The sequence below is a fragment of the Homo sapiens genome, chromosome 17 (assembly GCF_000001405.40).
Source record: "Homo sapiens chromosome 17, GRCh38.p14 Primary Assembly".
In the NCBI taxonomy this organism is placed as follows: Eukaryota; Metazoa; Chordata; class Mammalia; order Primates; family Hominidae; genus Homo; species Homo sapiens.
The window spans coordinates 3,087,055-3,110,025 of record NC_000017.11 but is presented as its reverse complement, the minus strand read 5'-3'; the positions used below and the strand labels follow the sequence as shown (position 1 = coordinate 3,110,025).

The window sequence follows — 22,971 nt, the reverse complement described above, 5'->3', positions numbered from 1 at the left end:
TGACTGGTTTCAGGTAGGGCAATTAGATGCTTAGATTTAATTGGTAGAAATGTAAATCTGATTGAAGTGAGGAGACTAGACTAGCATTAATCAATCAGAAAGGCAGATTAATCATTTACAAGGTTATTTCAGTAACTCAAGTGAGAGATGATGGTAACCTGCATTAAGGGAGTGGAAACAGGGCCTCAATTACACATACTGGAGAAATAGGGACACCTATAAATATTCTTCACTAATCTTCATTTCAACATGAGAATAAAATAAAACTTTAATTCATCTGGTGAAGTAAATAAGGGGGAGCCATCAAGGGATAATAGTTGCCAAAGAATACCTTCTTGTACAAGTAGTGTGATTTATACCCTCTTTTGTCCACCAAATGTTGTAACCAAACTAAGATTTCCTGACATTTTTTTGAGACAGAGCCTCACTTGGTCACCCAGGCTGTAGTGCAAAGGTGTGATCTCTGCTGACTTCAACTTCTGCCTCCCAGATTCAAGCAACTCTCGTGCCTCAGCCTCTCAAGTAGCTGAGACTACAGGCACATGTCACCACGCCCAGCTCATTTTTGTATTTTTAGTACAGACGGGGTTTCACCATGTTGGCCAGGCTGGTCTCAAACACCTGACCTCAAGTGATCCTCCCACCTCAGCCACCCATAGTGCTGGCATTATAGGCATAAGCCACAATGCCAGAGACACAAGTCTCTTCAAAAATAAAAGAGGCAGACCTCTGCTTGCACACAGGATATAGTGGGTTCTAGCAAGCTAAAATGATCCTCCTGCAACAATTAGAATTTTAAAAGGTAAAATCATAATTTTAAAAGGTAAAATCATAATTTAAAGGTATCAAAGAGTTGCAGAAGCAACAAAAACTACATAACCTAAAGTTTCAGAGAGAGGGTGACCATTCTAAGATGAGGTTACTCCAACTAGCTATTTTTTCCCTTGGGAAAAGTAGTTGCTGAATCTGGGCACAGACTTAGGTAGAGGATCTGTGCCGGGGAAATGAAAGCATTAAAGCGTGTAGCACTCACGCAAGACCAGAATAACAGTTTTGAAGCATGAGGGGCCTCAAACCCCTGTACTATTCTCCGCATGAGACATTTGCTGACTCTGATAAGAATGCTGGAAATCTAGGCAGACACTACTAAAAGACGGAAAAAAATCTCCTGCCGACTTTCAGGACTGAGGAAGCAAACACACTGTTAGAAGAGGCCTTTTTCGAACACGCCTCTGGTCTCTCCCTCAAGATATTTGCCAAACATTGAATTTGCATGGAGGCAAAGTCCAAAGAACTAAGCTAAAAACCTCTGAAGAAAATTTCTCACTACTTTTCAGGGCTAAGGACATCAAGATGCATGAAAATCCCAAAAAGGAAACAACCTAGGAACAGAAGTAAACTTAACCTTCCTAAAGTTACAACCTAATCCTAAGCCCAAACCAATTCCTGATTGAATTCAGGTGATGAACCCACTCACCGTATCTGCATTAAAGAGGAAAAGAAGAACCATCTCTGGTAGAGGTAACAACACTTGAAGCCACTGTAACCCTAGTATCCATGACTCCCAGCACATACTAAAAAAATTACTACACACAGGCAAGAGGCAAAATTACATGCCTAATAATTAAGACCAAAAAATAAAGATTGAAAGATGACTCTGATCTTAGAGGTGGCAGACAAGGAATTTAAGATAACAATTAGTATGTGAAATAGATAAAAAGATGAATAATTTTACTAGCAAATAGCATAAAGAGCACAATGGACATTCTGGATGTGAACACTACAGTATCTGAAATTAAGAACTCAGTGCATGAATTTAACAAGTTGGACATAGCAAGATACAGAATCAATAAACTAGAAGACAAGTCAATATAAAATACCTAAACTGAAGTGCAAAAAAAATTAAAGGAAGAAACCCCAGATACAGCCATAAGAGATAAATGGAACATGCACAGAAGGCCTAATTATGTATCACTGGAGTCCCAGAAGGACAGGAGAAAGAGAATGGAACAGGGTCATATATTTGAGAAGATAATTAACCAAGAATTTTTCAAACAGATAAAAGACATAACACTACAGGTTGAAGGAGCTCAGCAAATCTCAAGCAGTATAAATCGAGAGAAAACCAAACATAGGCATATTGGAGAAAACTACTGAAACCAAATATAAACGAAAACCCTAAAAGCTGTTGAGGAACAGGACAGGGTCTCAATACCTTCAAACAGCATATCTTAATCCATTCAGGCTGCTATAACAAAATAGTATAGAGTGAGTGACATACATAACAGAAATTTATTTCTCACAGTTCTGTCTGGAGGCTGGGAAGTTCAAGATCCATTTGCCAGAAGATTCCGTGTCTGGTGAGTACCCACTTCCTGATTCACAGATGGCCATCTTTTTGCTGCGTCTTTACATGTCAGAAGGGGACAAGGGAGCTCTCTGGAGTCTCTTTTAAAAGGACACGAATTCCAGCCAGGTGCAGTGGCTCATGCCTGTAATCCTAGCACTTTGGGAGGCTGAGGCAGGTGGATCACTTGAGGCCAGGAGTTCAAGACCAGCCTGGCCAACATAGTGAAACCCCGTCTCTACTAAAAATACAAAAATTAGCTGGGCATGCTGGCACATGCCTATAATTCCAGCTACCCAGGAGGCTTATGCAGGAAAATTGCTTGAACCCGGGAGGTGGAGGTTGCAGTGAGTTAAGATCACGCCATTCACTACACTCCAGCCTGGGCTGTGTCAAAAAAAGAAAAAAAGGAAATACTGAAGAAGAAGAACAAGCAAACCATATAGCAATCCTATTAGAAGATATAATAATTAATATGTAGACTATTGATATAAGGATAGGCAAACTGACAAATGGAAGAGATTAAGATTCCAGAAACAGATTCATATATATAGTCACCAGACTGATGATAAAGATTTCCACTGTGATGGAGCAGGGAAAGGACGGCTTTTCTCCAAATGGCACTGGATCCGTTGAATATCCACACTTCAGGAAGAAAAATGTATGTTGATCTCTACCTCACCAAATATAAATATCAATTCCACATTGATCACAGATCTAAATGTGAAAGGTAAAAGCAAATCTTCCTGATGAAATCATAGAGAACATGACAAAAATTTAGCAAAGATTTCTTAAGATATAGACAGCACTAATTATTTAACAATTGATAAATTAAAACATTAAAACTCTTCTATTTCTCTAACGGCACCATTAATTGAACAAAAGCCAACCCACAAAGGTGGGTAAGATAGTCTTGTTACAAACATCTGACAAAGGCTCATAGCCAGAAAATATGAAGAATTACAAATCAACATTTAAAAAAAACCAGATAACCCAATAGAAAAAAATGAGAAGAACACTTGAGTAGGTGATTTACAAAGACAATATACTTTTGGATAATAACTCTATGAAAAGTGCTTAACTTCATTAGTCATCAGAGAAATGTAAATGGAAATCAGCAATTCTACTCTTGGACATATATTCAAAAGAAAAGAAATCAATGTATCGAGGAGATATCTACACTTCCACGTTTACTGCATCACTATTCACAATGGCCAAAATATGGAATCAACCCAAATGCCCATCAAAGGATGAATGAAGAAAGAAAATATGGCATATATACGCAGTGGAATATTATCCAGCCAAAAAAAAAATGAAATCCTGTCCTTTGCAGCAACATAGATGAAACTAGAAGTCATTATGTTCGGTGAAATAAGTCAAGCACAGAAACACAAATATTATATGTTGTCACTCAACATGTGAAAGTTTAAAAAGTGGATCCCATGATGATAAACGAGCAGACTGGTGGTCACCAGAGGCCAGGAAGAGTGAGGGGAGGGGGAGGAAGAAATGTTGATTAATAGGTACAAAAGTACAGTTTGATAGAAGCAGTAAGACTGAATATAGTTTACAATCATCTATTGTATATTTCAAAATAGTAAAAGGGGAACAATTCAGATGTTTCTAGCATAAAAAAAGACAACTATTTAAAGTGATATATATCCCAATTACACCAATTTGATCTTGACAAATTTTATGAAGATATTAAATTATCACATGTACCTCTATTATGTATCTTTTTTTAAAAAAAAAAAAATTCAACCATGGCGAGATACCGCTATACTCACCACAACAGCTAAAATGAAAAGGATGAAAAATACCAAATCATGTTAAGGTATTGAGCAACTAGAACTCTCATACACTGCTGGCAGTAGGGAAAATTGATACAAGTCTAGTACTTTGGAAAAGTGTTTAGCACTGGCTACAAAAACTATACATAGGCCTGCCATGTGATTTATAAATTCCACTCTTAAGTATATATGCCTAAGAGATATGCGTAGCTACACGACTCAGGACAAAAACCGGAAACTACTAATGCCCACAATGGGTGTTTAGTGGTCTCTTCACACAATAGAACACCATACAGCAATGAGCATGAACAACCTACAACCACATACAACTGTGTGGATGAATCTGACATATACAATGAGTGAAAAACGCCAACACAAAAGAGTACAAACTGTATACTTCCATTTAAATAAAGTAAGAAAATAGATAAAGCTAGCTTAATGATATTAGCAGTTAGGATAGTGAGTACCTGTGCAGGAACAGTGACTAGAAAGGAATATTTGGTCATTTCTGGAGGGTCAGTAATGTGTTTTTCATCTGAGTGCTGGTTACTCATGACTGGCCTGTTTGTAAACATTCCTGATAAAATTTTCAGGCTTCATTTTATTTCCTAAAATAATGTAGCATCATTATTTTTCCATCTATGTCTAATAACTATATTATCTAGAGTCCCTATATGCCTCCCCTGTGTTGGTTCTTGCTATTGGAATCTTCCTTGTGTCTTTTTATCTTTGGGTTTATGTTGGATATTGTGCTTGAAAAATTATTAACAGAAATAATTCTGTTATTTCAGCTCTAAGGTGACATTATGTTCCTCTAAATAGGATTTCTTTCTTGCTTTTGCTTAGTACTTTGGGTCACAGACATCTGGAATCATTCTAGTTGAAGTTTAGTACCTTAAATTTGCCAGACCTCTCCCTACTCAAAGTCAACAGGCAATACATGTAGAGTCCGCTTTATTTTTGGCTTACTGTTACTTTGGCTTACTGTTATATGTATTTTATCTTTTATTTTTTTTTTTTTCAGATGGAGTCTCACTCTGTTGCCCAGGCTGGAGTGCAGTGGTGCCATCTCGGCTCACTGCAACCTCCACCTCCCAGGTTGAAGCGATCCTCCTGCCTCAGTCTCCCAAGCATCTGGGACAACAGGTAAGTGCCAGCACGCCCAACTAATTTTTGTATTTTTAGTAGAGATGGGGGTTTCACCATGTTGGCCAAGATGGTCATGAACTCCTGACCTCAGGTGATCTGCCTGCCTCGGCCTCCCAAATGCTGGGATTTCAGGTGTGAGCCACCACACCCAGCCTTCCTAGGGTATATTTTAGGATTACTGCACAATAAGGAGCTGGTTTATTTCTTGTAAACAAGACTCATTTCCCAAGACCCTCACCTCTAGAGAATAACATCGGAGCAATTATCCATGTTCATCTCAAGAGGCTATCTGGGGATTGCATCCCCAAGTTCTCTCCAAAATGGATAAGCAGACCTGATGTGCTCCCTGTTCATCCCGTTTCTTCATGAATCTAGGATCCAAGACTCAGTTCTCATATCCCACAAATCTCATTGGGGCATCAATAGCCTGAAATCCTGTCTCCTTTTTTACAGAAGCTGAAGACCCAGGCAACAAGTTCTCTGCTCTGTACCTTTAGCCAATAGGATGAGTCTCCAAGACCTATTCAGAAAATAATGCATTCTGGTCTTTTATGACCTGAATGTGTTTTCATCCTGTAGAACAGGAACGTGGAGGAAGCTGAACCAGTGAACTCTGAGAGCAGCACAGAGCAGTGGGTAAGGTCTGTACATCTCAGCCTCATGCTCTTTCTCCCTCTTCTCTCTTATCTTCTCTCTTATCTTCTCTCTTCTCCATTTTCTCTGTCACACAAACATACTCACACACTTTGGGAACTCATGTAATCTCACCTCTTAGTCTTCAAAGGTAATAGAACAATCCCTTGAATCTTAGAAGCACTCTACAGTTTTCAAGGTACTTTCACATTCTCTGTTGCATGTAATTCTCACAGCCTGTGAGAATGACTACCTAGGTGAGAAGAGGGGATTTAGGCAGGTCGTGGGCCCTACTCAAGGTCATACAGCTAGGAAGTAACAGAAGAGGTACAAAGCCCAGTGTTTCCACTGCAAGCTTGGACCCCTTTTCCATATTGCCCCTACAATCTCCCCCCTCACACCCCAGCAACACAACAGAGGGGTCTGTGTCTCTGTGACCATCTGACCACATCAGTGTTCAGAACCCACTGACTCTTACAAACTCAGAGCAGTGTTTCCCAAAGTATAGCATCAGAACTACTGCATGCTTGCTAAAAAGAACTTGGTTCTCAGAAACAGGACTTCAAGAGAGACTTCAGGACTTCAAGAGAGAGAGTCAGAAAGTCAGAAAGTCAGCTTTTTGTTATGAAGCATCACAGGTGATCGTGATGCACATGAGTGCAGGAGATGCTTGCCTTGTGGGTTACAAAGCAGAGGTATCTGGCCAGATGCAATGGCTCACGCCTGTAATCCCAGATACTCAGGAGGCTGAGGCAGGAGAATGGCTTGAACCCGGGAGGTGGAGATTGCCGTGAGCCGAGATCGTGCCACTGCACTCCAACCTGGGCAGAGTGAGACTCCATTTCAAAAAAAAAGAAAGGAAAAGAAAGAAGAAAAAAGGAAGCAAGCAAGCAGAGGGATCAATTTCTCAATTTCCCTGGGAGTTCTCTGGCCTTCCTCAGTCTTGTCACCTGCCCTCTACCCTCCCTCCCATCAGCAGATGTCCCATAGAGCTCTGAATGGTAAGAACAAGACTGCAGAAAGAAGTCATTTGTGATGTGGGAAGCCTGTAATACCGTGTGCCCTCATCTTCTGTCTCCCCTGCAGTTGCACCATGAGGCCTGACACCAGGAGTCCCACCCTGACATCCTGGACCATTCCGGACAGACAGAGTGGGGTCCAGCTGCTCCTGTCTGAGAGGGCAGCAGAACCAGGATAGAGGCAAGACTGGGAACCCTGTTGCTCTTTGTACTGAGAGAGTGGGTTCCCTACTAGAAAGGGGTGGGAAATACAAGTTGGAGGAATGAAGAATAGGAGTCCCTTTGCCACCCCCATCACAGGCCCCTTCCAAGGACAATTAGGCTTTAAGTTTGGAGAGCTGCTTCCACATACAGCATTTCAGCTCTTTCTCCTGACCCCGGGGGAGGTGGGCATTATTGCTGTCCTCCATCCCATGGTAGAATAGTTAGATTGTGAAATCTGGAGGCAGAACGGGGGCTCAAATCCCAATGTGTCAGTTCTGATTGAGTGAATGTGAGAAACTCATTAACCTAAATCTCAGTCACCTCATCTATAAAGCAGGATAACAGAAACAAATAGCTCGTTGTTACAACGATATACGTCGTTGTAAATAAAAGATGTATATACATAGCACCGTAGGTATGTATGTATGTGTGTGTCTAATGAAATCGCAGTTTGTTCAAAAAATGCTTGAATTTGTTACGCTGGGGTTTGAACCCAAACTTCAGACTCAAAATCTCCTTCCACTATGCCACCTACCGTGGACATCTAGGAGTTTAACTTGCTACATTGAGGTAAGGAATTCACTCATTTGATGAATGCTAGGACTGCCATATACCCTCACCCCACCCCAAATCTGGCACTCCAAATTACTTTAATAGTCGAAATTACTCACAGTTCCCTCATCTCCATTTGCTTATTCTGCTGTGACTTCAAATTAACCATGTTTCAGATTGAATTTGCAGAACAGGCTCCATACTTCCCTGGCACACTGGCTGGTTTTCCAAAACATTGCAATAATATGTACAGTAATAATTAATATGTACAGTAATAACTGTACATATTTTGGGGGTACATGTGATATTTTGATACATGAATATAAGTGTAATCATCAAATCAGGATATTTAGGACAGTCATCACCTCAGACATTTATCATTTCATTGTGTTGGGAGCATTCTCTTTGTAGCAATTGTGAATGGAGGTTCATTCATGATTTGGCTCTCTGCTTGTCTATTGTTGGTGTAAAGGAATGCTTATAATTTTTGCACATTGATTTTGTAACCTGAGATTTTGCTGAAGTTGCTTATCGCTTAAGAAGTTTTGGGGTGGAAATGATGGGGTTTTCTAAATATAGAATCATGTCATCAGCAAACAGACAATTCGACTTCCTCTCTTCCTATTTGAATCCCCTTAATTTCTTTCTCTTGCCTGATTGCCCTGGCCAGAAATTCCAATACTATGTTGAGCAGGAGTGGTGAGACAGGGCATCCTTGCCTTGTACCGGTTTTCAAAGGGAATGCTTGCAGCTTTTGCTCATTCAATATGATATTGGCTGTGGGTTTGTCATAAATAGCTCTTATTTTGAGATACGTTCCATCAATACCTAGTTTATTGAGAGTTTTTAACATGAAGGGATGTTGAATTTTATCAAAATGCTTTTCTGCCTCTATTGAGATAATCGTATGGTTGTTGTCTTTGGTTTTCTTTATGTAATGGATTATGTTTATTGATTTATGTATGTTGAACCAGACTTGCATCCCAGGGATGAAGCCAACTTAATCGTGGTGGATAAGCTTTTTGATGTGCTATTGGATTCGGTTTGACAGTATTTTATTGAGGATTTTTGCATTGATGTTCTTCAGGGATATTGGCCTGAAGACTTCTTTTTTTGTTATGTCTCTGTGAGGTTTTGGCATCAGGATGATGCTGGCTTCATAAAATGAGTTAAGGAGGAGTCTCTCCTTTTCAATTGTTTGGAATAGTTTCAGAAGGAGTGGTACCAGCTCCTCTTTGTACTTCTGGTAGAATTTGGCTGTGAATCCATGTGAACCTGGGCTTTTTTTGGTTGGTAGGCTATTAATTACTGCCTCAATTTCAGAACTTGTTATTGGTCTATTCAGGGATTTGACTTCTTCCTGGTTTAGCCGTGGGAGGGTGTATATGTCCAGGAGTTTATTCATTTCTTCTAGATTTTCTAGTTTATTTGCGTAGGGGTATTTATAGTATTCTCTGATAGTAGTTTGTGTTTCTGTGGATAAGTGGTGATATCCCCTTTATCACTTTTTATTGTGTCTATTTGGTTCTTCTCTCTTTTCTTCTTCGTTAGTCTAGCTAGCAGTCTATCCATTTTGTTAATTTTTTCAAAAAACCAGCTTTTGTATTTATTGATTTTTTGAAGGGTTTTTTTGTGTCTCTATCTCCTTCAGTTCTGCTCTGATCTTACTTATTGTCTTCTGCTAGCTTTTGGATTCACTTGCTCTTGATTCTCTAGCTCTTTTAATAGTGATGTTAGGGTGTTGATTTGAGATCTTTCTAGCTTTCTGATGTGGGCATTTAGTGCTATAAATTTCCCTCTTAACACTGCTTTAGCTGTGTCCCAGAGATTCTGGTACATTGTCTCTTTGTTCTCATTGGTTTCAAACTACTTCTTGATATCTGCCTTAATTTCATTATTTACTGAGAAGTTATTCAGGAGTAGGTTGTTCAATTTCCATGTAATTGTGTGGTTTTGAATGAGTTTCTCAATCCTGAGTTCTAATTTGATGGCACTGTGGTCTGAGAGACTGTTATTATTTCAGTTCTTTTTCATTTGCTGAGGAGCGTTTTACTTCCAATTATGTGGTCAAGTTTAGAATAAGTGCCATGTGGTACTGAGACAAATTTTGTTGATTGGGGGTGGAGAGTTCTGTAGATGTCTATTAGCTCCACCTGATCCAAAGCTGAGTTCAAGTCCTGAATATCTTTGTTATTTTTCAGTCTCATTGATCTAATATTCACAGTGGGGTGTTAAAGTCTCCCACTTTAAAGACGCATAGACACATAAAGTCTATGAGTCTTTGTAGGTCTCTAGGAACTTCTTTTACGAATCTGGGTGCTCCTGTATTGGGTGCATATATATTTAGGATAGTTAGCTTTTCTTGTTGCATTGATCTCTATACCATTATGTAATGCCCTTGCCTTTTTTTATCTTTGTTGGTTTAAGGTCTGTTTTGTCAGAGACTAGGATTGCAACGCCTGCTTTATTTTTTATTTTTTTGCTTTCCATCTGCTTGGTAAATTTTCCTCTATCCCTTTATTTTGAGCCTATGTGTGTCTTTGTACGTGAGATGGGTCTCCTGAATACAGCACTCTGATGGGTCTTGACTCTTTATCCAAATTGGCCACCTGTGTCTTTTAATTGGGGCATTTAGCCCATTTACATTTAAAGTTAATATTGTTATGTGTGAATGTGATCCTGTCATGATGCTAGCTGGTTATTTTGCACACTGGTTGATGCAGTTTCTTCATAGTGTCATTGGTCTTTATATTTTGGTGTGTGTTTGCAGTCGCTGGTACCAGTTTTTCCTTTCCATATTTAGTGCTTCCTTCAGGAACTCTTGTAAAGCAGGCCTGGTGGTGATGAAATCCCTGAGCATTTGCTTGTCTGGAAACAATTTTATTTCTCCTTCACTTATGAAGCTTAGTTTGGCAGGATATGAAATTCTGGGTTGAAAATTTTTTTCTTTCAGAATGTTGAATATTGGCCCCCACTCTCTTCTATCTTGTAGGGTTTCTGCAGAGAGATCCACTGTTAGTCTGATGGTCACCTTTGTAGGTGACCTGACCTTTCTCTCTGGCTGCCCTTAACATTTTTTCCTTCACTTTGACCTTGGAGAACCTGATGATTATGTGTCTTGGGGTTGATCTTCTCATGGAGTATTTTAGTGGTGTTCTCTGTATTTTCTGAATTTGCATGTTGGCCTGTCTTGCTAGTTGGGGAAGTTCTCCTGGATAATATCCTGAAGTGTGTTTTCCAGCTTGTTTCCATTCTCCCTGTCTCCTTCAGGTACTCCAATCAGTCGTAGGTTCAGTCTTTTTACGTAGTCCATATTTCTTGGAGGCTTTCTTCATTTCTTTTCATTCTTTTTTCTCTAATCTTGTCTGCATCCCTTATTTCAGCAAGGTGGTCTTTAAACTCTGATATCCTTTCTTCCACTTGGTCGGTTCAGCTGGTGATACTTGTGCATGCTTCATGAAGTTCTCATGCTATGTTTTTCAGCTCCATCAGGTCATTTATGTTCGTCTCTAAACTGATTATTCTAGTCAGCAGCTCCTGTAACCTTTTATCAAGGTTCTTAGCTTCTTTGCATTGGGTTAGAACATGCTCCTTTAGCTCGGAGGAGTTTGTTATTACCCATCTTCTGAAGCCTATTTCTGTCAATTCAGCCATCTCATCCTCCATCCAGTTCTGCTTCCTGGCTGGCGAGGTATTGCAACTATCTGGAGAAGCAGCAGCACGCTGGCCTTTTGTGTTTTCAGCATTTGTTGTTGTTGTTGTTGTTGTTTCTCATCTTCATGAGTTTGTCTAGTTTGGATCTTTGAGGCTGCCGCCCCTTGGATGGGGTTTTTGTGAGGACTTTTTTGCTGTTGTTGATGCTGCTGTTGTTGCTTTCTGTTTGTTTTTCTTTCAATGCTCAGGTCCCTCTTCTTTAGTAGGCCTGGGGGCTCATTACAGGCCCTATTCATCTGGTTCGCTGCTGTGCCTGGAGGTATCACTCAAGGAGGTGGAGAACAGGAATCATGGGTGCCTGCTCCTCCTTGTGGGATCTCTGACCTCAAGGGGCACCAACGTGATACGAGTAGGTTCACTCCTGTATAGGGTGTCTGACATCCCCTGTTGGAGGGTCTCACCCAGTTGGGTGGCACAGGGAAAAAGATCCGTTTAACGAAGCACTTTGTCCCTTGGTGAAGGGGGTGTGCGCTTCACTAGGGGAAACCCACTCATCTGGGCTACCTGGATTCCTCAGAACTACCAGGAGGAAAGGCTAAGTCTGCTGATCCACAGAGATTGCGGCCACCTCTCCTGCTAGGGGCTCAGGCCCAGGGAGATCAGGGTACTGTCCCTGAGCCCCTGGCTGAAGTTGTACTTCCTGCATTGAGGCCCCACCCAGTGAGGAAGAGTGGGTCAGGGTCAGGCCTGAAGAGGTGCTTTGGCCACAGTCGACCATAGGGGTGTGTTGGGCTGTGGTGGACACATTTTGGGACCAAGTCAACCAGTCTCCCAGGCTCCGGCAGGGGAAAAGTGTGGGCTGGAGCTATAGAGATGGCTGCCGCCCTTCCCCCACCCAGGGAGCTTAGTGTGCTAGGCAGTTATCAGTCCCAATGTTGGGTGCTGCCCCTCCTGCAAGGAGCTCAAACAGCTTAGACAGCAGGCAGCTGCAGCTATGGTGCTAGTTTTCTCTCCCTCAAGGAACTTGGCAGGCTTAAGCAGATTCTAGCTGAGAGGCTGTTGAGAATCTGCACAGCTCTGGGGTTGGTACCCTAGGCACCAGTGGCATGGGTTCACCAGTGGAATCTTCTGATTTGTGGGTTGCAGAGTTCCATGGAAAAAGCATGATTTCCCTGGCTGGGTAGCATGCTCACTCACCACCTCCCTTGGCTTGGGGGTGGGGACTCGTATTTAGAGCTTTCTCAGCATACGATCATACCATTGGCAAACAGCACTAATTTGACTCTTTTCCAATTTGGATGCCCTTTATTTCTTTCTCTTGTCTTATTGCTCTGGCTAGGACTTCTAGTACTATGTTGAATAGAAGTAATGAAAGTGGGCATCTTTGTCTTGTTCCATTTCTCAGTAGGAATGCTTTCAAGTTTTTTTAAAGTCCATTGTAAAATGGACACCACAGAAATAGAAAAGATCATTCGAGACTACTGTGAACACCTCTACGCACACAAACTAGAACATTTAACAGACATGGATAAATTCCTGGAAGAACCTTCTTGGAAGTATATTATCCTCCACAATATGGAAATGAAGTAACATATGGAAATGAAACATGTTTTTCAATTTTTTCTGCTATTCATTGCTAATTTTATTCTACTGCAGTGGGAAAACATACTTTGTATTTTTTCTAGCCTTTTAATGTCATTTGGGTTTATTTTATGGCCTAGAATATGGTCTATCATAGAGAATGTTCCCATGACACTTGAAAATAACTTTCTTCTTTTGTTGTTGGGCAGAGCGTTACATAGACATCTGTTAGGCGCAGTTAATTTACAGTGTGGATCAAATCTTTTTTTCCTTGTTGATCTTTCTAGTTGTTCTATCCATTATTGAAAGTGGTGTGTTGAATTTTCCAAATACTGTTGTTGAATTACACATTTCTGTCTTCATTTCTATCAGTTCCCTTCACGTATTTGGGTGCATATATGTTTACAATTGTTATATCTTCTTCATAGATTGACCCACTTGTCATTATAAAATGTCTCACTTTATCTCTAGTCAGACTTTTTGACTTAAACTCTCTTTAAGAGATGGGGTCTTGCTATGTTGCTCAGGCTGGTCTTGAACTCTTGGCCTCAAGCCATTCTCCTACCTCAGCCTCCCAAAGTGATGAGATTAACAGGCATGGGCCACCAGGTCAGCATAAACTCTATTTTAATCTTTAAAGCCATTTTATATTTTAAGGCTAAAGTACAGCCATTCCGTTTTTCTTGTGGTTCCTGATTGCATGGTATCTTTTCCCATCCTCTTACTTTCAACCTTGCTGTATCTGTGAATCAAGTAGGTTTTCTGTAGAATGCATATAAATGAATCATGTTTTTATCCACTCTGACAGTCTCTGCCTTTTGATTGAATTGTTCTATGCATTCACACTTAATGTTATGATTGATATAGTTAGATTTATGTCTCCCATTTTACTTTGTGTTTTCTATGTGTCCCATGTCCTTTTTTCCTCTATTTTCCTTGTCCACTTCCTTTTCCATTAAGTTAATATTTTCTCATGTTGCATTTTAATTTCTTTAATAATTTTTTCACTCTATTTTTGAAGGTAATTTTTAGTGGTTGCTCTAAAGTCTACCACATACATCTTATCAGAATCAGCTGCAGATTTATACCAACTTAAGTCCAATGATATATAGAAAATGATTTCTATATAATTCTATTATTTTCTTCCTTTTGTAGTATTATTGTTACAGATGTAACATCTATTAATCCTGATAATCCACTGTTATAATTACTACTATACCTTCTGTAGTCATTTCCTTAGTCCAACTTTGCCTCCACCCAGCTCCTTTATGCTGTAATCGACAAACATGTTATACATATATTTCTATATGCTATGGCCTCAACGATACATCATATACATATTATCTTACATAAATGGTGTTTAAATAAGTTATAAGAAAAAACAAGAAAATATGAATTTATACTGTCATACTTAATAGATATATGTAAAATATTACATAGATATATAGATTATATCAATATATATTTACATATTTACATACATTTATAATATCACATTTTCATACTTTATCACTGTTCTTTCCTTTTTGTGCATGTGGATTCAAATTATCATCTGAGGTAACTTACTTTCAACCTAAAGAAATTTCTTTAGTAGTTTTTATAAGATAGGTCTGCTAGCAAAAATTTTCTGTGTTTTTGTTCACCTGAGATAATCTTTATTTGGCCTTCATTCTTTTAAAGATAGTTTTGCTGAATATTAGACTCTTACTTGATGGGTTTTTTCTTCAACCATTTTGAATATGTTATCCAACTGTCTTGGAGCCTCCTTTGTCTCTGTTGAGAAGTCTGTTGTTCATATTATTAGGCTTCCTTTGTAAGTAAAAAATCTTTTTTACTTGCTGATTTCAAGATTTTCTCCTTGTCTCTGCCTTTCAGCCTTTTTACTATGATGTGTCTATTTGTGAATCTCTTTGTATTTATTCTGCCTAAAGTTTGTCGAGTTTCCTATATGTGTAGTTTTTTAAACAAATTTACTACGTTTTCAGCCATTCTTTCTTTGGATTTTTTTTCTGATTTTTCTCTCTCCTGTCCTTCAGCACTTGCATTCCATGTGTGCTGGTATGCTTAATGGTGCTCCACACTTTTCTGAGTCTCTGTTCATTTTTCTTCATTTTTTCTCTTCCTCTATTTTTCAGCTTGATATCAATCTATCTTAAAGAATGCTATTTTTTCTGCTAGTTCAATACTACTATTCAGCCTGACTAATAAAATCTTCATTTCAGTTACTGTACATTTTGACTGCAGGATTTCCATTTGGCTCTCTTTTATCCATTCTTTTTATTGATATTCCCCATTTGTCATGACATTCTCACTGTACCTTCCTTTACTTCCCTAATCATGCTTTCTCTTAGTTTTGTGAAAATATTTTCAATGGCTACTTTGAGGTCTTTTCAAAGAAGGCTGACATCACATTGTGCTCACAGGTAGTTTCTGTTGCCTGATTTTTTCCTCATATGTGGATCATACTTTGTTTCTTTTCATGGTTCATAAATTTTGTTGGAATATGGACATTTTAGATAATTTATTGTAACAATTCAGGGTACTAGTCTCCCCTAATGGGGCTGGTTATTGGTATTTACCTATTTGCTTAGTTCCCACAGTCACTGAGAACTGTCAGTAGTATTGGAAGAGATCTTACTCTTTCCCTGACCGCATTCAGCTGTTTTATATATACTACATTTTTTTATATTTTTACATATACATGTTTCTTTTTTCTTTTTTGATTTTTTAAACATTTTATTCTATACACATTAGGCTTTCGAAGGAAAAAAAGGCACACTATAGTATTTTAATCTTTAGTATGTTTTAAATGTGTTTGATAAGATACAAAATATTGTTCGAACTAGTCCTCCGAAATTAATTACACAGTTATCTCAATGTGCCATTTCTTGAATAATGCAGGCTTTACTTGCTAATATAGAGTGTACCCATGCAGAATTTACCGGCTAATATACAGTGCACCCAAATTAATCTGCCAAATTCCACGTTTTTGTGTCTATCTGTGAAGTTTCTACTGATCTGTTCATTCCAACATTACTATCATATTGCTTTAGAATTCTTAATATTTGATGTGCAAGCATCACCCTGTTATTCTTTTATTCAATGTTTTTCTAGCTTATCTACATGCTTATATTTAGATGAAATTTAGACCAGTTTCATTTCTCCAAAACCCTGTTATAATTTTGATATCCAGTAAACTTTCAATTAATTCAAAAGAGTATATAGCTTGGTGACACTTCTCTTCATATTAGAAACCTTGATATGTTTATCAATTTATTTAATTTTTACTTTACCCCTCACTGGAGAATTTGAAGGTTTCGCCTGATTCTTGTTAACATCTGAGTGCCATGATTTATTTGTTGACAGTGGGGATGAGATAGTTTTTCATTATAACATTTTTCCTGATTCTCGTTAAATATAACAATAATAGGCAACATTTCTGAGTGCTAATTGCCTACCAACTCCTTGTGTTAAGCACTTTACTACTTAATTTTCCCCCACCCTATAACTCATGATTCGCATGAAGAAACTGAGTCTTAAGGAACTCTGGAACCCTACCTGAGGTTTCACAGCAAGTAAGTGGCAGTGCGTACTATCTTACTAGCAGGGAAAGACTTGATTTCAAGTATTCTAAACTCTATTTCTAGTAGTCTTTCAGTGGATAGTCCCACTTTTTTCAGATAGATCATCATATCAACAAATAATAATTGTTCCTACTCCTTTCAAATACTTTTATTTTCTTCCTTTTTTGAACTACTTATACTGCATGTATCTATATTAATTATTTTAACACATATACATATCATAACACACTAATCACCAAACACTTCAAGAATAGTGTAAGATGACAGGATTGAAAATAAGAATTACACATTATTCCTTTAACATTGAGTTTCCCAGCTTTGAAGTAGCTGAAATAATTATATCGCATAAAAACTTTGTTATATTTTTCACTTTCTTATTTTCAAAAATTATAAAATTGGGTGTAAGACATTCTTAATTCTAAGAAAATGTTGATTTTGCTTATCTTCATGTTTTTATTCAATTAAGGACTTTTGGTAAACATTTGCTGGTGTTAATGTTAAAAGAGAGTTGGGGAAATGGATGGAGGCAACCAGAGTGAAGGTTCAGAGTTCCTTCTCCTGGGGATGTCAGAGAGTCCTGAGCAGCAGCGGATCCTGTTTTGGATGTTCCTGTCCATGTACCTGGTCACGGTGGTGGGAAATGTGCTCATCATCCTGGCCATCAGCTCTGATTCCCGCCTGCACACCCCCGTGTACTTCTTCCTGGCCAACCTCTCCTTCACTGACCTCTTCTTTGTCACCAACACAATCCCCAAGATGCTGGTGAACCTCCAGTCCCATAACAAAGCCATCTCCTATGCAGGGTGTCTGACACAGCTCTACTTCCTGGTCTCCTTGGTGGCCCTGGACAACCTCATCCTGGCTGTGATGGCATATGACCGCTATGTGGCCATCTGCTGCCCCCTCCACTACACCACAGCCATGAGCCCTAAGCTCTGTATCTTACTCCTTTCCTTGTGTTGGGTCCTATCCGTCCTCTATGGCCTCATACACACCCTCCTCATGACCAGAGTGACCTTCTGTGGGTCACGAAAAATCCACTACATCTTCTGTGAGATGTATGTATTGCTGAGGATGGCATGTTCCAACATTCAGATTAATCACACAGTGCTGATTGCCACAGGCTGCTTCATCTTCCTCATTCCCTTTGGATTCGTGATCATTTCCTATGTGCTGATTATCAGAGCCATCCTCAGAATACCCTCAGTCTCTAAGAAATACAAAGCCTTCTCCACCTGTGCCTCCCATTTGGGTGCAGTCTCCCTCTTCTATGGGACACTTTGTATGGTATACCTAAAGCCCCTCCATACCTACTCTGTGAAGGACTCAGTAGCCACAGTGATGTATGCTGTGGTGACACCCATGATGAATCCCTTCATCTACAGCCTGAGGAACAAGGACATGCATGGGGCTCTGGGAAGACTCCTAGATAAACACTTTAAGAGGCTGACATGAGGGCAATTTGGAAAGACAGCATTAAAGTGGAGACTAGGAATATCCTTCACCCTATGTAAGGGATTGTCCTGTGTGTTATACAGCAGTGATTGGGACATGGCTCCAGCTCAGAGACAGCATATAGATATGTGGTGATAAAAAAGACATATTTGTAACCTGGTGTCCCCCAGGTCTCATCAGCCTTGGCCGTAAATAAGGTCACACTAACACCAACACTAGAATGTTGCAGGGTCAAATTCTTCAATGTACTTGACTACAGGGCCACATTCTTGGCCTTATCTGACTATATCCAGTTTAAACCTAGAAGTGTCTCTCATCTAGCACACATCCAAAGTACAGAAAGTAAATAGTAGCTGATAAGAAAGTTAGTCACATGGCTGTGGAGGTTTGAAAGAGATTGCAATCATACATATTTGTATCAGCTGATCCAGCACGTGATATAGACCTCGACAGGTGGTGTTCAATTCATTTGACATTCATGCAGTCATTCATCAACTCATTCTATTCATAATGACAGTGTACAGAGGCCTCAAACTGGGTTACAAATGTGAGGTCACAGTCTACTCGGGGAAGTACATAAATTTACATTAAACATAAATGGACCTAACTCATCAATTAAAAAGTAATGTTCAACATACTGATTAAAAAATAAAATATAGATAGATGTATTTAAAGAGACACGATGAAAGCACAGGAATATATAAAGCTTGAAATTAAAAAGAGAAACAGACATATTTGGAAAATACTAAATATTTTAAGTGAAATATTGCTGCAATGACATCAGGTAAAAGATATTTCAAAACGGGTGAAAGGAGTGATGTCAACAAGATGGTGGAATCGACAGTTGTATCTCTCATCCACCAACATACAGACTAATTTATCAACCATCCACAGATGAAAATACCTTTGTGAGAGCTCCAGAATCCAAGTGAAAGTTTATAGCACCCTGGTAGTACACAGAAGTAGAAAAAACACCATATTGAACATTGTAGAAAAAACTCTGTCACATTACCTGAATCACCCCTCACCCAAGCCAGCACAGAGTAGCACAAAGAGAGATCCCCTCATCTCATGAGTTCTTCCATAAGTAAAAAAGAAAATAAAACATATGTACAACTTCCCCTGACTTTCAGGATGCTAACCAAGAGGACCACTTCTGTCATGCCTCACCAAGAATACTGAGGCAATTCACATGGCCAGACCCCTCTGAGTAGCTAAGAACAAGAAAAAAAAAAAATAAGAAAATGGTTGGGAGCTCTTAATAGTCAGTATGTGTATTTTAACAACTGGGGCCTTGCACCCTACAGTGGGCCTGTGCATGGTGCCCAGAAGCTGGCCCATCCACCCACATCCCCAAGCACTAGGCCTGCCTGCCCATAGACCCTGCCAACTGGCCAGCCCAGAATATCTGGCTAAGCTGACTGGTGAAAAACAGTTCCTATCAAATTGGACTTTCCCTATCAAAACCAGCCTGTAAAGACTAAAAGAGATGACTGCTTCTTCAAATGTGCAAACACAAATGTGAAGCTACAGGAAACACAAGGAATCAAGGAAACTTAGCAAAGCCAAAGGAACAAAATAAAGCTTCAGAAACCATCAAAGAAATGGAGAAATATGAACTGCCTGACAAAGAATTCAAGTGATCATTTGAAGAAACATGGTGACCCACACAAAAACACAGGTAAACTACTAAACAAAATCAGGAAATCAATACATAAATAAAATGTAAATTTCAACAAACAGAAACCACAAAAAAGAAACAGTAATTCTGGAGCTAAATAATACAATGACTAAACTTTAAAAAACTCAAAAGAGCTTCAGCAGCAGATATGAAGAAACAGAAGAAAGAATTCACTACTCAAAAACAGGTCATTTGAAAGTACTAGTAAGAGAAACAAATGGAAAAAGAGTGAAGAAAGCCTATGGGACATATGGGACCCATCAAACAAATACACACATTACATAAGTATCAGAAGGAAAAGTGAAAGAAAAGGAGGCAGAAAACTTATTTTTCTAAAAATGGCTATTCACAGCAGCCACCACAGGCAGGAAAACAGAAACCTGAAAGTGCTGCTTGCTTTCTCAACAGGGAGACTTGCAGCCTGGAACAAGTTTTCAGCCCTGCTCACCAGCTACCCGGAAATAAACTCAGCACTGTTAGGGGTAGGGCACATTGGGAGTGACATGGCCACTTGGACAGCATGGGAGCTGGGTGAGGCCTATCACTGCTGGCTTTCCACCACTTCCCTGGCAACCTGTATGACACAGCAGAGGCAGCCATAATCCCCATGGGAACATAACTTCATTGGCCTGTTAACCACACCCCCATCCCTCACAGTGGCCACAGCAAGCCCCACCGAAGGAGAGTCGGAGCTCACACATGCCTAACCCTGCCCCAACCTAATGGTCTTTCTCTACGCACCCTGGTAGCCGAAGACAAAGGGCATAATCTCTTGGGAGCTCTATGGTCCCACTCACCACCTGAGAAACTGGAATACTTATCCAGGCCACCTTAGGGCAAGTTTGTATCCCCCCTATGCTACCACAGCTGGTGCACTCTTGAAAGGACCACCTCTTGGCTGGAGGCCAACTAGTACACTAAACAAAACTTCAACCAAGGACCATAGACTCCTAGATAAACACTTGGACCATGAGAGTTCACTTTACTCCACTGCTACCTCCACTGGACCAGGCACTGGTATCCATGCCTGAGGGACTGAAGACAGATCACATCACAGGACTCTTCACAGACACCCCCCAGTACCAGCTCAGAGCCCAGAAGCTCTGTTGGATGGCTAGACCAGCAGAGAAATAACAATCATTGCAGTTTGGCTCTCAGGAAGCCCCATCCCCAGGAGATGGGGTAGAGCCCCATATCAAGGGGGGATCCCATGGACAAAAACAATCTGATAAGTAGCCCTTGAGCCCCAGATCTTCCTTCTGACATAGTCTACCCAAATGAGAAGGAACCAGAAAAACAAATCTGGTAATATGACAAAACAAGGTTCTTTAACACCCTTGAAAGATCACACTAGCTCACCAGCAATGGATCCAAACCAAGAAGAAATCTCTGAATTGCCAGAAAAAGAATTCAGAAAGTTGAGTATTAAGCTAATCAAGGAGGTGCCCGAGAAAGGTGAAGTTCAACTTAAATTAAAAAAAAAAAAAGTAAGGGTGGAGACCACCCCTCATATTGTCTTATGCCCAATTTCTGCCTCCAAAGAAAGAAGTAAAAACTAAAAGGCAGAAATGAAATCTAAAGGCAGACAGCCTGTCACCACGCCCTGGGCCTGGTAGTTAAAGATCGACCCCTGACCTAACTGGTTATGTTATCTATAGATTACAGACATTGTATGGAAAAGCATTGTAAAAATCCCTGTCCTGTTCTGTTTTGTTCTGATTACTGGTGCATGCAGCCCCCAGTCACGTACCCCCTGCTTGCTCAATTGATCATGACTCTCTCACGCAGACCCCCTTAGAGTTGTGAGCCCTTAAAAGGGACAGGAATTGCTCACTGGGGGAGCTCAGCTCTTGAGACAGGAGTCTTGCCGATGCTCCTGGCCAAATAAACCCCTTCCTTCTTTAACTTGGTGTCTGAGGAGTTTGGTCTGCAGCTCTTCCTGCTAAAAAAGATACAGGATATGAAGGATATGAAAGCAAAAATCTTCAGTGAAATAGATAGCATAAATAAAAAACAATCACAACTTCTGGAAATGAAAGACATATTTAGAGAGATGTAAAATGCACTGGAAAGTCCCAGCAATAGAAACAAACAAGTAGCAGAAAGAACTTCAGAGTTCAAAGACAAGGCTTTCAAAAGCCCAACCCATCAAAGACAAAGAAAACAGAATTTTAAAAAATGAACAAAGCCTCCAAGAAGATTGTGATTATGTAAAATGGCCAAACCTAAGAATGACTGGTGTTCCCAAGGAAGAAGAGGAATCTGAAAGTTTTGAAAACATATTTGAGGGAATAATTGAGGAAAGCTTCCCTGGCCTTGTGAGACATTTAGACATCCAAATGCAAGAAGCTGAAAGAACAACTGGGAAATTCATCACAAAAAGATCATCACCTAGGCACATAGACATCAGGTTATCCAAAGTCAAGATGAAGGGAAGAATCTTAAGAGCTGTGAGGCAAAAGCATCAGGTAACGTATAAAGAAAAACCTATCAGGTTAATGGCAGATTTCTCAGCAGAAACCCTACAAGCTAGAAGGGATTAGGGTCCTATCTTTAGCCTCCTTAAACAAAACAATTACCAGCCAAGAATTTTGTATCCCATGAAACTAAGCTTCATAAATGAAGGAGAGATAGTCTTTTTCAGACAAACAAATGCTGAGAGAATTCGGCACTACCAAGCCAGCACTACAAGAACTTGTAAAAGGAGCTCTAAATCTTGAATCAAACCCTTGACATACACCAAAATAGAACCTCCTTCAGGCATGAATCTCACAGGACCTATAAAACAATAACAAAATGGAAAAATAAAACAAGCTCTTCAGGCCATCAATTAGCATGACAAATAGAATAGTAGCTCATATCTCAATAGTAATGTTGAATGTAAATGGCCTAAACACTCCACTTAAAAGATACAGAATGGTAGAATGGATAAGAATTCACCAACCTAGTACCTGCCATCCCCAAGAGACTCAGCTAACACATAAGGACTCACATAAACTTAAGGCAAAGAGGTAGAAAAAGATATTCCATACAAATGGTCACCAAAGCAAGCAGGAGTAGCTATTCTTAGACGAAACAGACATTAAACCCACAACAGTTAAAAAAGACAAAGACGGACACTACATAATGATAACAGGACTAGTACAAAAGGAAAACATCACAATCCTAAATATATATGCACCTAACACTGGAGCTGCCAAATTTATAAAACATTTACTACTAGACCTAAGAAATGAGATAGACAACAGCACAATAATAGTGGGGGATTCCATACTCCACTGTTAGCACTAGACATATCATCAAGACAGAAAGTCAACAAAGA

General features: G+C 39.7%; 1 protein-coding gene across 2 annotated transcripts; it reads left to right on the top strand.

Moving 5' to 3' along the window:
- The first annotated feature begins 5,603 nt into the window (after positions 1-5,603).
- Positions 5,604-21,542, top strand: OR1D2 (olfactory receptor family 1 subfamily D member 2). 2 transcript variants are annotated; one of them, NM_001386088.1, is made up of 2 exons: positions 5,604-5,922; positions 16,980-21,542. In NM_001386088.1, the coding sequence occupies exon 2, from the start codon at positions 17,030-17,032 to the stop codon at positions 17,966-17,968; it is 939 nt and encodes a 312-aa protein (NP_001373017.1). In that variant the 5' UTR covers positions 5,604-5,922; positions 16,980-17,029; the 3' UTR covers positions 17,969-21,542. The 2 variants fall into 2 exon arrangements, with proteins under 2 accessions (NP_001373017.1, NP_002539.2); NM_002548.3 differs by having other exon boundaries at positions 5,604-5,927.
- The last annotated feature ends 1,429 nt before the right edge of the window (positions 21,543-22,971 follow it).